We start from the raw sequence: 16,540 nt of genomic DNA, 5'->3' as shown, positions 1-16,540 counted from the left end.
GAAACAAAGACAAAATCTTATCATGGTTGATGAGGATTATTCCTCCCAGACAATGTTGTTTCTCTGTCCTGGATAGTACACCTTCATGTTACCAACCCTGGCCTAAGAGTGGCTGTCTTTTATTGTTTTCTACCTGGTTCTATTGGGGAGGGAGAAACAAAGAAGAACAAAAACAAAAACATTTCATCTTAGATAGACTTCATCTTACAATTTTTTTGAAAAAAATAATTGAATATCTTTTTTCAGGCAAATAGTATGTTTTTATATCCATCTCTCTTATGTGGCCATTCCAATATCAGTCCCCAGAAATAACGATGTGTGAATCTCAAACCAATTTTTTGGCAACAAAAAGGTATAGGTTTTCTTCCTTATTCTTTCTGTATCATTTTGATTAAAAAATTCTTAAGGAGTGGCCTATTGTGCAATTTCTAAGAACACCACCAAGCTGTTAATGAAGTAAATATCTGTTTAATTTACAAACATCAGCAGTGTAACCGATATTAATCTGGAGAAAGACAAAGCACACTGAATTATACATGTACATCTAATTTTCTTTGTAAAAAAAGAAGTTTTCAGGAAGAAACATCTGCATCTTTACAGGGCACCCTGGGATTTTAATGAGGGAAGAGCACAGTTCACTATAAACCATTATCAATTCTACATTGTAATTTAGCAGCAAACATGTTAACATGGGAGCATTAAGATAATAAAGGAGTTTTATTGTTTGAGGGAAAGAAAAGTCACAGTTCTTGATATGACAGTCTTTTTATCCCCACCTCACCCCCACAAAAGGGCAAAAAAGGTCAAGGACATATTAATTTGCAAAAGGTCTACTTTCTAGTGTTGATTGCTACACACCATTTCGTTTCTGTGAGGACATGTTGCAGAGGGGCCACTTCTTTCTGTACAATGACCATCTCACATACAGATTTCTGTTTTCCTCTCTCGGACTTTGCATACTCTCTGCAGGTGTCCTGAATGAGGCCAGTAGGTCATTGACATCAGTGATCAGATGTCAAGGTCAACAAACAGACCAATACATATGTATCCCAAGATAAAACCCTATGTTAGTACTATTGCCAAAAAAAAAAAAAAAAAAATCCTGATTTTTAAGTTTGAAAAATGTACAAAAATATCAGGATAATTATAAATTAATATATATTAAAGCATCAAGGAACAGTAAAAGGATGGCCTAAAATGTTAAGTACAATGTACTTTGATACAATAAATATTTCTCATGGAAACTGAATACTGTATAGGGCTGTTTAGAACTCATAGAAACAAAAAATCATATTATTACTAATTTATTTATCAATAATCTATTGGTTCTTTATCATCTCCTTTATCATTTATATTACAAAAAAATTAATACTGGAAAATGGTAAAGACTTTTGTGTGCTGCTTCTGCTGACATGCTGACATTTAAAAGGAAGATAAAATTTATTTTAGCACTTTCATTTCCTCTCGTAAATGGAACCCAGATCCTCAGGACACTTTATATTTTGCATGAAATATTTCTCATCCATTTGTTCTATCTGTGAATTCTGGAGTTCCATTCTCTTGCCTTGCATCCTCATTCACACGCATGTGCTTGGTATGTCCTAGTGAACTTGGTTGATGTGAAGGAGGGTACACAGGTTTTATGCTCTGGGCAATTTCACAGCAGTGCACAGTAGCTCCTCTGTCCCTCGTGCATGTGCTTCTGCTTGTCTTCAGCATGTTACAAAGATGGACCCGAGTTGCAATGGTTCCCATCGCTGTTCTAATGTCTCCAGGTATATCTTTCTTCATACTTCTCCAGCATAGGGGAAGCTTTAGTTCAAGCATTTCTTTTTTTTTTTTTCCAAATGCAGAAAAAAAGTCTTTATTCTCATAATAAAAATAAGTCTGTTCTGTATTTTACAATATATTTCAAATATTTCCACTATGAAGCATTCATTAGTCCCACACGGTCAAGAAGTATACAACCTTTTCCAAAGACAGAGCTGCCGGGAGTGTGTTTAGGACACACACCTCGTACAGCCGCACTTCACCACTTTCTCAACCTCGTCCACAAAGGAGGAGCCGTCAGTGCATTCGAAAGAGTATTTCCGCCGCTTGCTCCTCAGCGGTCCACAGCACTGCCCTCCTGCACACCCACCTCTGCACTCTAATCGGGACACCTTCTTGGTTGTTTGGCAAGCAGCATAGCCCTGCTGCTTTTGGTAATAATCTCTTATCCTTTCCCCTCGACAAGAGATTTCTAGAAAAGAACAAAAAGCACAAGCATTTTAAGAACAGTCACTGTAAGTCATGCAGAGTGACTGTGAATCCACAACTTAATTCAGAAGCCTTTGCTTCCCCTTTGTAACTTGCTTTACATATTATTAGCTGGTGGCACGGCCTCCTATTCTTTGAAAAATACTTCTTTTTAGTCTCTATTTTCAGCAAAGTGAATGCTATTATGTAGAGTATAAATACAATGCTATTGCAGTGACAAGAAAATTGGATTCCTAAATATTTTCTTTCATTGCAAAAAAGGAAAAAAAGTACACATCTTCTGTTTTTACACTACTAACAGCTGGTTTTGTTTACCACAGGGAGCAGTTTCAGAGAGTATGCCATTTTATTTATTAGACCTGGAGTTTAATATTATCCAATCTGTTACTTAATACAAGTAACATTCCATTAACTTCATAAATTACCCCAGTATGAAGTATGTAGTTCAAAAAAGAGACATCTGCTAAAAGCTTCCATGGGCACGTTCCTCTTGTCTCGTCCCTTGGACACACAAAACAAAATCCGTGCCAGCTGGAGGCCAGGCGAGCTCTGATCACGCAGACAAAGGAGAAGGAGGAAGGTGAACTAAGAAGTCAGCCTGTTTCCGTTCCTCTCACCCACATGATTTGCTGTGATAAATCAGTCGATTCTAAGGCCAAAGGTCATTTTGTACTAAAACTAGAGCAGAATTAAGAGGACCATCTTCTCTGTGCCAGAAGATGAATTAATAATATATACGGATGAGAACAGCCGGTAAAGGTAAGACAGGAGTAAAGTAAATGTGCTTCTCCATCAGGTAAAAAGGAGCATTTCTTTTACAACAAATCAACTTGTGAGAAGCATCTGAAGGCTGTATACAATCTTGCGGTGGAGGTTTAAGGTCATTTCACAGCTGGTGCCTTCAAAATACTTGAAAATAAATCAATAGCAGCAACTGCAAGTAGTGAGAAGACCTAGTATTCTCTCCTGTCACTCCCCTCTCTCTGTCTCTGTTGCTCCTGTTTTTTTTTTTTTTTTCACTTTTTCTCCCTCTCTTTTCAAAGACATGGGACCCCTCTTGCTTTGCCAAGAGAATGAGGTGCCCAGTGGGGCTGGCTTACCTCGATCACAGCTGTCCCCCGTGTATCCACTGCTGCATTCACAGTAGGGCTGCCCCAGACCTGAAAGCCTGCACTTCCCATGCTTGCACTTGATCGCCTGGCATGGGTTAAACAGATCCTCCTCTTCATCACAGAGGACACCTCCATGGCCCTCCAAGCACTTACAGCTGTAGGAGAACGCATTGATGGGCAAGCAGGTGCCATGTACGCATCTACAGGGAGGAGGAACACAGGAGTGGGAATGCATTCAGAAGAGGAGGTAAGAATGAACGGAGGTGATATAAGAATGGAGGATGATTGAGAAAATATGAGGGACAGAGTGCTAATGCCTAACGAACCTCCCCTCCCCTCCCCTCCCTTCCCGTCCCCTCCCCTTCTTCTTTCCTTCCTTCCTTTGGTTTGGCTTTGAGGCTTTCAGGTGTGTGCTCAACTCCCAAGCAGCAGGAACTTACTTATTTCCAAGGCAAGGGTCATTGGTCCGTTGGTCACAGAGGGGCCCCATCCATCCTTCCTGGCACTCGCAGGTGAAGCCTGCCTGGCTGCTGGGCTGGCATGTGCCATGGGCACACACCTTCTTGTGGCATGGCTCACAGCCAGGCAAAATGCCTGTTTGCATCGGCACCTTCTGGAAGTCCTGCAGCTCACTGTTGATGTAAAGGTTCCGGATGCAGCCGTGGAAGCTGGTTCCGTTCTGCCCAGGGGCCTGGCGCAGAGATGCCACGTTACTCTTCCCTGGCATGCCTGGGGAGGAACACCAGGTCAGAGGTCAGGCTCTCTGGGGATTTCTGAGCCATTTGCTACTCAGAAATACTGATGCTTGGGACCTCACTGCCAACCTATTATGGCAGGATATTTGGGCAGGGTGGTAGGGAAGTGAAGTGGAGAAGAGATGTAGAGATGTGTGTTTTTGTTTTGTTCTGTATTGGAAGATGCTCCAGGAAATTCTAATCCACAACTAGAATAAAATACCTAGTTGATTGGTGGTTAATCTTTAAAATTTGCTTCAAAGAAAACTTTACATGTACACAAATATATAAAACCTAGAGGCAGAGCTACTGTCCTTAAAGGCAAGACTGGGGGAAGGGAATGTTCCCTCTCTGTTTGTCCTCCACCCTCCACCTCCAGGCACACACTCCTGGAAGTCTGGAGCTCCATAAAGCTCAGTTTATGGTGCTCTAATTCTACCCCTTATCTTAAAGACAAGGGGCTAGGGCTCAGAAAGCCCTGGTGACATGCTCAAGGTGACCCAGTGAGTTCAGGTTAGAGTTAGGCTGATGAGAAGAACTCCTCTATCTCTGGAGTCAGGGTTAGGTCCACCAGGTTTCAGGGGCTGACAGCTGGGGTTCACAGTGACCATTCACCCCAGCCCTCCCACATTCGAAGTTAGCAACTAATTCAGCTCACTCCTGGCAACGTCCCTAAGCTTGGTCAATGATGTCAATGCCTAAAAACTCACTCCTGATTCTTTTCAGGACAGCACCTCATTCACATCATTTTTTCTTTCTTGCTAATTAAGAGTGAAGACTTCATAGTCCAAGAAATCAGAAATAAAAATGAAATCCCTTCAAAAACAGAGTATTTGCAATCTTTGTATATATACATTCCACTAGTGACAGTTATCTGGTAACACTCATTTTGGCAAAACGGAAGAATCTTTCCATGGCCTAAGCCAGACCCTTAGTCCGTGGAAGGCATCCTGCAGAAGGCACCCATCCAGGGAAGGGGGGAGGGTGCTGGAAGCTTTCAGAGTGCTGGCTATACCACCACATCCCCACAACCCCGTAATTATGCTTTAGCTGTGCCTAAACTCTGGACTACTGGCTGGAAGTTCTAGGCTGAGGAAGACCCAGTTTCTCACTCTTCAGGGGGTCTGTTGGTTCTAAAGACCAAGAACTGTAGCACACTCTGGGTCTGAACTTATGCCACCTTCTCCTTTCCCATTCATAGGAAATGACTCATCCATTGGCATTCAAAGCAGGCATCAGTCAGACAGCTAGGTGTACGAAACCACTAGGTTATACGGTAAGGATTTCTGGTTCTGCGTGCACTTGGAGCAGTTATTTCTTCTCTCTGGGGCTTAGTATTGTCATCTATACACCATGAGCATATGGACCAGAGAAGTTGTCCTAAGTTTGTCATACATAAGAACCAACAGCAGTGCATGCTCAAAGGCAGCTTTACAGGCTCCTCTCTCCCCTCCTTCTGAGGTTCTGATCCTGTAGGAACAGGAGAGGTGCAGAAATCTAAATATCTACATGCAGCTCAGGTGATTTGGGTAGTCCATGGTTACACTCTGACAGGTATTGAATGAAGTCTCTTGGCTGTGAAGTTCTGTGAGTACAGGCCTTTAGTCTATGTCCATCTCGCTGTGGGTTGCTTTCTAGAGCAGGGTCAAAAGGATGAAACTTACCATTTCCAGGAAAGGACTGGTGACAGAAAATTCCTTGCCCTGGGGTAAGTTTTTCTAATTTAACCATATCCATCCATCATAAGGACTTTAATGACCACATATTTATGGTCCTTTTTTCAGTGGTTAAAAATGAACTTCTTCCAAAACTATTTTTAATAGCTCATTTTGATATAGGCACAACACACATATGTGCACATGTCAAGAATAAATACAGATTGGCAAAGTTCCACAGCACAGAGAAACAATTAGTAAATCTGTTCCTTTTTGTTCCAAAGCTAACAATTAGAAAAAGCCCAGCTTTGACTAGAGTAATTTGTAAATGAAAATGTTTAGACATCATACGTATATTTGAGTTTCAATAGGCTATCATAAAATCAGGAATTATTCTGAGTCAATCTTTTCACGTGCTAGGTCTTCATTGACAAACAGAAGTAGATACATGAATTTTTTTTTTTTTTTTTTGAGACGGAGTTTCACTCTTGTCGCCCAGGCTGGAGTGCCATGAACGCAGCCTTGGCTCACTGCAACCCCCGCCTCCTGGGTTCAAGCGATTCTCCTGCTTCAGCCTCCCGAGAAGCTGGGATTACAGGCATGCACCACCACGCCTGGCTTATTTTGTAATTTTAGTAGAGACCAGGTTTCTCCATATTGGTCAGGCTGGTCTCCAACTCCCGACCTCAGGTGATCCACCCGCCTCAGCCTCCCAAAGTGCTGGGATTACAGGTATGAGCCACCACGCCTGGCCAGATCCATGATTTTTTTTAAGCCTTTCCTCTATGCTATTGGCCTAGTTGGAAATCATTCAATCAATCAGCCAATCAATCAATCAACCAACAGATAACTTAGCAAACAGCTTTTAGCCTTATTTCTACAGGCCTCAAAATGGCAATAAAGAGACCAAGTATCAAGCCTAGGTCCTCTGTCCCGTGGCAGGACAAGGAGGACATTTGTTGCATATACATGGATTTCCATGCATGGGGCTTATTTTTTGATTTTCTTCCCCATTAGGTAATAAGGGTTCAGTTGGACTACAGACAGAAAAACATGAAAACTAAATTATTTTGTGTCGGCCGAGCGCAGTGGCTCATGCATGTAATCCCAGCACTTTGGGAGGCCGAGGTGGGTGGATCACATGAGGTCAGGAGTTTGAGACCAGCCTGCCAAACATGATGAAACCCCGTCTCTACTAAAAGTATAAAAAATTAGCTGGGCGTGGTAGCAGGCGCCTGTAATCCCAGCTACTTGGGAGGCTGAGGCAGGAGAATCACTTGAACTCGGGAGGTGGAGGTTGCAGTGAGCCAAAATCGTGCCATTGCGCTCCAGCCTGGGCAACAAGAGCGAAACTCCATCTCAGAAAAACAAAAAAAATTGTGTCAAGTAAAGCACATATCATGGGTAGTTGATAACCCAAGGGTAGGTTAAGCTGCCTCTCCATATACTCACCAAGGGGCTGCCTCTCCCCAGATGCTGAGGCAACACCTTCAGGCAGTCCTCCTTGGGCAGCATCCCTGGTTTTTTTTGTTTTTTGTTTTGTTTTTTAACTTTTATCTTAAGTTCAGGGGTATATGAGGGTTACACTCCCCACCAACAGTGTATTATGTGTTACCGTATAACAAACCGGGTAAACTCATGTCACGAGGGGTTTGTTGTACGGACTATTTCAGCACCCAGGAATTAAGCTTAATGTCCATTAGTGATTTTTCCTGGTCCTCTCCCTCCTCCCACCCTCCGCCCTCTGCTAGGCCCCAGTGTGTGTTGTTCCCCTCTCTGTGTCCATGTGTTCTCATCATTTGGCTCCCACTTATAGGTGAGAAACATGCAGTATGTGTTTTTCTGTTCCTGTGTTAGTTTGCTAAGGATAATGGCCTCCAGCTCCATCCATGTTCCTGCCAAGGGCATCAGCTCAATTCTTTTTTTGTGGCTGCATGGTATTTCATGGTTTATATGTACCACATTTTCTTTATCCAGTCTAGAATTGATGGGCATTTAGGTTGATTCCATGTCTTTGCCATTATGAATGGTGCTACAATGAACATATGCATGCCTGTGTCTTTATGATAGAATGATTGAGATTCCTTTGACTATATGCTCAGTCATGGGATTGCTGGGTTGAATGGTAGCTCTATTTTTAGGTCTTTAGGAATCGCCACACTGTTTTCCACAATGGCTGAATTAATTTACATTTCTGCCAACAGTATATAAGTGTTCCTTTTTCTCCACAACCTTGCCAGCAGCTGTTATTTTTTGACTTTTTAATAATAGCCATTCTCACTGGTGTGAGATGGTATCTCACTGTAGACATAATTTTTTTTTTTTTTTTTTGGAGATGGAGTCTCCCATTGTCGCCCAGGCTGGAGTGCAGTGGTGCGATCTCGGCTCACTGCAAGCTCCACCTACTGGGTTCATGCCATTCTCCTGCCTCAGTCTCCCAAGTAGCTGGGACCAAAGGTGCCCGCCACCATGCCCGGCTAATTTTTTGTAGTTTTTAGTAGAGACGGGGTTTCACCGTGTTAACCAGGATGGTCTCAATCTCCTGACCTCGTGATCCACCCGCCTTGGCCTCCCAAAGTGCTGGGATTACGGACGTGAGCCACCGCGCCCAGCTGTAGTCACTATTTTTAAAGAGAACTTAGTTACCTTGCTCTCCTTTTCTCCCTCTGCTTCTCATGCCTTTGCCATACAGCATTCAAGGCTGTGGTCTTACAGGTTCCTTGTGGTTTGAAAATCTGAGTCACCCTTGAGACTGCACTCTAAGCGGGGAGAAAGTGGGCCCATGGTGATCTCTGGCAGTGGGACTGGGATGAAAGTGGTTTCCTTGAGGCCTGGGTGGACAGAGGTGTTGTTTGAATTTTTCCAGGCCCTCTACCTTCAGAAGGATAAATACTTTTCATTTTGAAATTTAAAACTTTTTTTCCTCTTTTTTTTTTTTGGCGGGGGGCGGGGGAATGTTCTGACTTAAACAGTCTCATCCTGTATTCTTTTTTTTTTTTTTTTTCTTGAGATAGTGTCTGGCTCTGTTTCCCAGGCTGTACTGCAATGGTGCAATTATGTTTCACTGCAGCCTCAACCTCCTGGGCTCACATGATCCTCCCTCCTCAGCCTCCCAAAGTGCTGAGATTATGGGTGTGAGCCACCATGCCCAGCCCCCTGTATTTTTAAAATTGGTTTTATACTATATTCTAAAGGGGCTTCGAAAGATTTAATGAAGTGGATTCTAATGAAAACATAATAAAATCAAGTGAACGAAAAGTCCATAAATAAACAACAAAAGGCCACAGCACTTAGATTTGTTCCCTTTCTGCTTTATGTGAAGAAGTGAATGGCAATGCAGGTGGCTTTGGAGTCAGCCAGATCTGGACTTAAATGAGGTGTCTACTACATAATAGCTTTGTGTACTTGGACAAGTTATATAAAATCCTTGAGATTGCTCTTCAGGGACTACAAAACAGAGAAAATCATACCTATTTCCTAAGATCTCTGCACATTAAGGCTATAAAAGGAGCACTGTGTTGGGCACATAGCATGTGCTCAATAAATATAATTTATTTTCTCTCAAATCACAGGTATGCTTGTGACTTGGCTTCACCCATCCAAAAGCAACCCTGTAAACTGGAGTGCTGGCAAGAATGGAAGATTTGGTTTTTAATGAGACTCTCTGCTGTGATTCCCATGAAGCAATCAGATAAGTCAACTTGCTGAGTAGACTCACTATGCAATACTTTATTTATAATGCATTATAGTTACTTGAAGATGCCTCTGCATTCTTGACTTTTTAGGGAGTAGAATGGACATTTCTTCTTCAACTTTATATCCTTTATGTATCCATTTACTTAGTTCCTAGTATGTGGTAAGTACTCAATAAATATTTACAGAATTGAACCAAAGACTTCCAACTGTTTCTAAAACAATCCAACTCTGTCAAAATGTTAAGACTGTCTACTACTGAAATTATTAAAACAGAAATGTCCTAGGCTTAGAGGCACTGAAAAGAAGGCTTTGAGTGGTTGAGATAATGGTGTAGCATAGGTTATTATTTTTCAGAAAATGATGTGAAACTCATGAAAATATCTGTCATGGTGATGAAATTGTACACTAACCTGTTCAAAGCTTTTACTTATTTATCTGTAAAATAAGTTAATCAGTCAATTCAAATAAATTCAATGTAATTTAATCCAATGCTTCTCAATTCAGCATTAACTGCTTTCTGGCTCCTTTACCAGAATTTTGAAACTCTATGCCTCCAGTTTATATTTGTTCCTCCAAATAGAGGCAAGATTGGGACCTCTCTCCTTTGCGGGTCCTCTCCGATGGGCTCCTACAGAACTTTGCTTATATCTCTGTCCCTCATTTATTCACTCATCTGCCTTCTTTTCACTTAAAAATAAAGCCCAGGGTCTTCACTCTATGATTTCAAGTCCTAACCTACCTTTCCAACCCTCTCTCTTGTTCATTCACCTTAAGGTCTTAGTGGAACAGAACTATTTATTGTTATTCTAATACAATTTGTACATTTAATTTGTTCATTCATTCATTCATTCAGTCAGTCATTGGATTACAGTGATACTTATCCTATCATCCAGATGAATTAGCAACTGGTAGTGCAGAAGCTCCAGCATGGTAACATTTGACTGAGCTGATAGGGTTTGCCTCCTTAAGGGAGCTGGGGTGGGGTCATCTACTTTCCAGTTTGCATTAAGCTTGTTTTATCATTTTCTTGATTGTATGATTTAATCTCTAACCAACTTTCCTTTTCCATAGACCAGATCAAATATAAGATTAAATTATATAATGTATAAATCACCTAGCATATGTGATTGACACAAAAGAAATATTAATTAATGTCTTTCTCTACCCAGATGACACATTTGTTAGAAAGAGAGATGGGATAATAAAATGATCCCTTAACACCCACCTAGAGATCTTTCTGTTCTGTCTTTGCCATCCATCTTTCAATGATTGATCACTATTGGTCAATGACAAATCCTGATATATTAGGCATTAACAAACTTCAGAATTCGTCCATAATGAGAATCACAGGGTTTCAGGACCACCTGAATTTGGAAGACAGCTTACCTCCTACATAGAGTGGAGAGTCAAAATTCAGAGTGGACTGCTTTGACAAGTTAGTGATGATTTTGGGGTTCCCACCATCCACGGACAAAGAGAGACTCTGATCCAAGGCAAGTAGTTCCACAATGTGGAAGTTTCCATCATTGATTGTCTCCACACTACAACGGAAAAAAAAATGGCTGATTCTTCCATTTTCTTTTCATTAAAGCAAGGTAGTTAAATTACAAACTTTGATAAGTGCTCCTTGGGAAAAGAGATGGCAATCTAACACTAATGAAGATAAAGACGAGTAGTTGAATTTTTTTTCAAAAATAGGCATTTTCAAGGAGATGTGATTGATTTCAGTTTCTCAGGAACTGAATACAAAATAAGTTTGTTCTTTTATGACAAGAAGTAGAAATAACTACATTTCATCATCATCCAGCCACATTCTCTCAATATGTAACAATTTCAAAGGATAATTTATACATTTGCTTTTAACTTCCATAAAAGGTCCATTTACCAAGATACTATTACTTCAAATTGTACGAAAAGACAAGGAAACTAGGCCTGTGCCAAAAACACCCTAACACATCGACCTTAGGCAACTGCTGGCTTCTGCTCTTAAAAAAAACTGTAGATTAGGACTTACCAGAATCAAACACACACACAAATGCAAGGAGAAACAACTTGGTGGGATCTCAGTACTTTTTGAAATTTGTTAATAATATCCTCTTACTTTCTGTGCATTTTCATCAACTGATATTGCTGTGAAGAAGTTATCTATGCTCAGTGGAGACATGGGAATAACAGATTAAATAAAATGCTTAACATAGTGATATCTAGGAAATATTGCAATGACAGTGGCTGTCTGGATTCTTTTCTATAATTTTCAAGGGCCAGGTCTAACAATTATTACTGTCACCTTCTAAAAACCTTGGAAGGGCTTATAGAAATTGATGAAGTGAATAAAGACAAAAAGATGAAGAAAGGTAAATGGAAAATGAGGATTAAAAAATAAGATGAAGTTGAGTGCAATTAGTAAATATGTTTTACATGGTTTTAAAGTGTAGTTGCATATCTAACTCTGGTGTTACAGCAGGCAAAAAAGCAAACCAGACCAATGAAACAGGACCAAAGAAGAAATAGGACCAATACACGGTGCAGTGTTAAGAACGTACTTACCTTTCCCTATACAGGAAAAACATGGCATAATGGAAGTTGAGATCAAAAAGTTAATGGTGATTATTAAAGATCTAACATGCTGGGATACTGGGAAGACTGAAAAAGGCTCCAACATGGAAACATGGGAGCATGTGATAGATTATTCCTAAATGTGAATACTTAATACTCTGTATACAAGATGACTGCTTAAATTTCTAGGCACTGATATTTAAATTTGTAAAATGGCAAAGTCTAGGGAATGATAGAAAAATGCATTAACATATTTCTGCATGGTTCTCACCACTGGAGTCTAATCATCTTCCGTTGTATGCTGACAGGTAATAAAACGTTTTTTTGATTTGAGAACAAGAGAAATCACTCTGCAGAATTGTGAAAACACTTGACATTCTTTCTGTTTAGGTGGTTAGAAGAGTCCACGTGTACAGGAATCTTTGATAGCCTGTCTCAGGAAACAACTTTATAAAACTAAATGTTAGATATGTCAATCAATATTTTTGCCTTTTACACATTTAATTATCCTAACACTTAACATCAATACAATTGGCAGAGGAAAAAATAGACCAGAAAATTATTTTATAAGTATAGTTGCACACCATTAGTGGTTTTAAATATGACTCTCTTCTAAGAGGGTATGCCAAGTAGTAACATTGGCTAATGGTTAAGCATATAGACTCTGTAGTCAGATAATCCTGGATTCGAATCGTGGTCCTGCATTTATTAAGTGTTTGTTTTAGATAAGTTACTTTATTACTAATATATTTCAGTTTTCTCTTCAGTAAATGCTAATAAATATTTCTGCCTTCCATGGTTAATTTGAGGACTATGTAAAATGACTGAAAGATACCCAGCATAGCAAAAATTAATGTTAGATATTAGTATCACCATCACTATCATATCGGTCCCCCACCCAACCACGATCATCATGATACAAATAATTCAATACCATTTCTGAATCTTTTTTAGTAAAGAATTTAGCTTTATTTTAAATATTGATTGTAAGATAATGTTAAAGGCTGGCAGAAATATAACAACTTCTTTGGGGGCACATCTTGTTCAAGTTACTAAAAGTTTTAAAGTAAAACATTAAAATAAAGACAGACATGGAGAGAGTAGAAGTGAATTCCTTTTTACTTTGAGGTTATACACAGCTTTCCAAGTAGTTTTATATGGATGTCCTATCAACATCAACCTTAATAAATCTTAATAATGAGGCCCCCCATTTCTCTTTAAAATTGCAAAGAAAAGACCCATATATTACCAAGGAATGGATTCTTGGTCACATATTGGTCTTAGTCAATTCAGTCATGTCATCATCAATGATGGTGTTTGATGCAGTACAATTGTGTGGTTTAAGTTAACACACTTTACAGTTTTAAACACCCTAATGCAGTGTGTCAGATGGGAACTTGGAGGTAGGTAGTTTCATCATCAACTCACTTTGCTTATTGCTCCTTTATTCCCTCCTCTGTTCCTTTTTACTCTTTTTTGGAGTACATGTCTTAAACTCTTGCTAATTGTAAGCTAATTTAAAATATCATCCATGTATTATTTATTTCTGAAAATATGTGGTAAGTAAATACAAGAGAGATGTATTAGGAATAACATATATCAATTGTTTTTAGCAATACTCCTAGATGATATCTATAGATAATCATTACACTTCAAGCATGTTTAAGACAAGACCTCTGAAAATTCATTTCATAAAACATAGTTGGAAGTTTCAGTGGCAGTATCGTCAAGGATAATGCTGAGAGATAAATCTTGCTCAGCTTGTCCTAGCTCTCATTAGACATGTCATCTTTGGTTAGTGTGACCTTAGGTGATTTTTCTTCCTTTTAAGAGAAGTGCAAATAGGAAGAGCAAAGGATTATATATCACATACTAAGGGCCAGGTACTAAGAACTTTACAAGTATTACCTCATGTAAGCTTCACAACAAGAGGTGAGCACTGAGGACATCCAAGGTGACACATCTAGTTAGTGGCTAAACAGTTCTGAAGCCAGGTTGTCCAGCTCAAGTGTATGTGCTCTTAATTATTATGCACTACTTTTACAATCAAAAACCTGAGGAATACCTATTCCTAGACAAATGGCGTGTGTTTTCACCACTAACAAGCTTTTAATACATGATTTCTGTCCCAAATAGCCTGGGAATAAAGTTCTATAGTAAATTACCTTGTATGATAGCAAAACTTGATTCATTTACTAAAAAACACTGAATTGTTAATAAAAGTAATGATCTTACAATAAGAGTTTGAAGAATGCATATAAATTATATGGATTTAAAAACTGAGTTTGGATTTTATTTTCCCAATTATGAGTGAGATTATGAGTGAGATAGACTGACTATACTTTTCTCTCCCTAAAAGCTTTAAATGTCTAATCTGATCACACCAGAACTTCCACAAGACTTATCATTGAGATTAATTCCATTTATATCTCCCTGGAATTAAATGAAGCCTCATCTTGACCTCTTAACAGGTAAGTACAGTAAAGTTCATGATTTTAGATTCCTTTTTTTTTTTTGAGACAGAGTCTCGCTCTGTCAGCCAGGCTGGAGTACGGTGACATAATTACGGCTCACTGCAGCCTCAGCCTCCTGGACTCAAGTGATCCTGCTGCCTCAGCTTCCTAAGTAGCTAGGACCACAGCTGCATGCCACCATGCCCAGCTACTTCTTAAATTTTTCTGTAGAGATAGGGTATTGCCATGTTTCCCAGGCTGGTCTCAAGTGATCTTCCTGGCTTGGCCTCCCAAAGTGCTGAGATTACAGATGTAAACCACCATGACTGGCCAATTTGGTTTTTAAGATAGTATTTTACACATGGGACCTAAAGAGAATTTTTCAGAGTTAATAACATTCTAACTTGGTATTTCTTGCTGTCTTTTCTAGCATGAGATAAACTGGAGGATGTCCAGGAATCCTTTGTCTACACATTCGTTTAAAATTAAAGCAGTGGGCCAGGCGTGGTGGCTCACGCCTGTAATCCTAGCACTTTGGGAGGCCAAGATGGGCGGATTGCTTGAGCTCAGGAGTTTGAGACCAGCCTGGGCAATATGGTGAAACCCTGTCTCTACTAAAATACAAACAAAATCATCTGGGCGTGGTGGCGGGTGCCTGTAATCCTAGCTATGTGGGAGGCTGAGGCATGAGGATTGCTTGAACCCGGGAGGCAGAGGTTGCAGTGAGCCGAGACCGTGCCACTGCAGTCCAGCCTGGGCAACAAAGTGAAACTCTGTCTCAAAAAATAAAATAAAATAAAATAAAATAAAATAAAATAAAATAAAATAAAATATAAAATAAAATAAAAGCAGTGATCGACACATCAGTTGCTACATAGTAAGACTGCCTGAGCTAGAAAGCCATAATCCACTTTTCAGTCTATAGCAGCTGTCTCCTACATACCCACATGTAATGCATGGCATCCTTTTGGGTTCTGATAAGTATTGATAAACTCTCTTTCACCACTCCCTAGGGAACAATATATTTTATGATTCACAAAAACTACAAGCGAACCACTTAACTTTGGGCCTTTCCACTGGGAATTTGAATTGCATTTATTACTGTTACTATAAGGTTTAGTTTTACTACGCTCACCTATTTCCTGAGATTTGTTTTCTTGAGTTTATATACTGGAAGTGGATACATGAAAACAAAGCAGTTCCCCAACTGTTTGTGGTCTGCTACAGAAAAATAATTCAGAAACTTGGGGCTTAAAAGAGGGGCTTTAAAATGTCTCTGATTTTCTTTCTCTATTTTGCATACACACAACACACTAACAATGATAAACATAATGTATTTCTGTAGTTTAATAAAAGACTGTTTTTCCTTATGTGAGCTTCAACTTCTTGCCTTAAAATTTTAAAGTATCTGGGCTGGGTGCGGTGGCTCACGCCTGTAATTCCAGCACTTTGGGAGGCCAAGGTGGGTGGATCTCGATGTCAGGAGTTCGAGTCTAGCCTGGCCAAGATGGCGAAACCCCGTCTCTAGTAAAAAAACAAAAATTAGCTGGGCATGGTAGTGCATGCCTGTAATCCCAGCTACTCTGGAGGCTGAGGCAGGAGAATCGCTTGAACCCGGGAGGTGGAGGTTGCAGTGAGGCGAGATTGTGCCACTGCCCTCTAGCCTGGGCGACAGAGCAATACTCCATCTAAAAAAAAAAAAAAAATTAAAGTATCTGGTGACATATTCCACGCTTTGGAATAGGAACTGGAACCCAAACTCAACTGGTCATCTCATTTTGGTGTTTCTGGCCTGATGATACTTCACCTGTGAAGTGGGAGTGATACTAAAAGTATTCTTGCCTATCTCTTTAGTCAAAAGGAATGGGAAGCCAAATGAGATTAAAGATATCTATGTAGGCTGGGCGCAGTGGCTCACGCCTGTAATCCCAGCACTTTGGGAGGCTGAAGTGGACGGATCACAAGGTCAGGAAATGGAGACCATCCTGGCTAACATGGTGAAACCCCATCTCTATTAAAAATACAAAAAAAGCTAGGCGTAGGGGTGAGCGCCTGTAGTCCCAGCTACTCAGGAG

General features: G+C 40.0%; 1 protein-coding gene across 8 annotated transcripts in view, besides 1 other annotated feature; it reads right to left on the bottom strand.

The window, feature by feature from the left end:
- SLIT2 (slit guidance ligand 2) overlaps positions 449-16,540 on the bottom strand; it is a 368,657-nt gene continuing 352,565 nt past the window's right edge. For all 8 annotated transcript variants that reach the window (XM_005248211.3, XM_006713986.3, NM_001289135.3 and 5 more), the window contains 4 exons: positions 10,843-10,997; positions 3,812-4,100; positions 3,360-3,571; positions 449-2,242 (listed from right to left, as the gene is read on the bottom strand). In XM_005248211.3, coding sequence (XP_005248268.1) covers positions 2,001-2,242; positions 3,360-3,571; positions 3,812-4,100; positions 10,843-10,997 — 898 coding nt within the window. In that variant the 3' untranslated portion in view covers positions 449-2,000. The remainder of the gene's footprint in view (positions 2,243-3,359; positions 3,572-3,811; positions 4,101-10,842; positions 10,998-16,540) is intronic.
- Positions 3,943-4,443: an enhancer, noted in NCBI's record as "H3K4me1 hESC enhancer chr4:20618190-20618690 (GRCh37/hg19 assembly coordinates)". NCBI's record gives its function as "activates a minimal SCP1, AML or CMV promoter by ChIP-STARR-seq in naive and primed H9 embryonic stem cells {active_cell/tissue: H9 hESC(naive and primed)}" and the evidence as "EXISTENCE:reporter gene assay evidence [ECO:0000049][PMID:30033119]".

This window comes from Homo sapiens, chromosome 4, assembly GCF_000001405.40.
Source record: "Homo sapiens chromosome 4, GRCh38.p14 Primary Assembly".
NCBI lineage: Eukaryota > Metazoa > Chordata > Mammalia > Primates > Hominidae > Homo > Homo sapiens.
The sequence above is the reverse complement of the archived record's forward strand: the minus strand, read 5'-3'. Positions and strand labels throughout refer to the sequence as shown.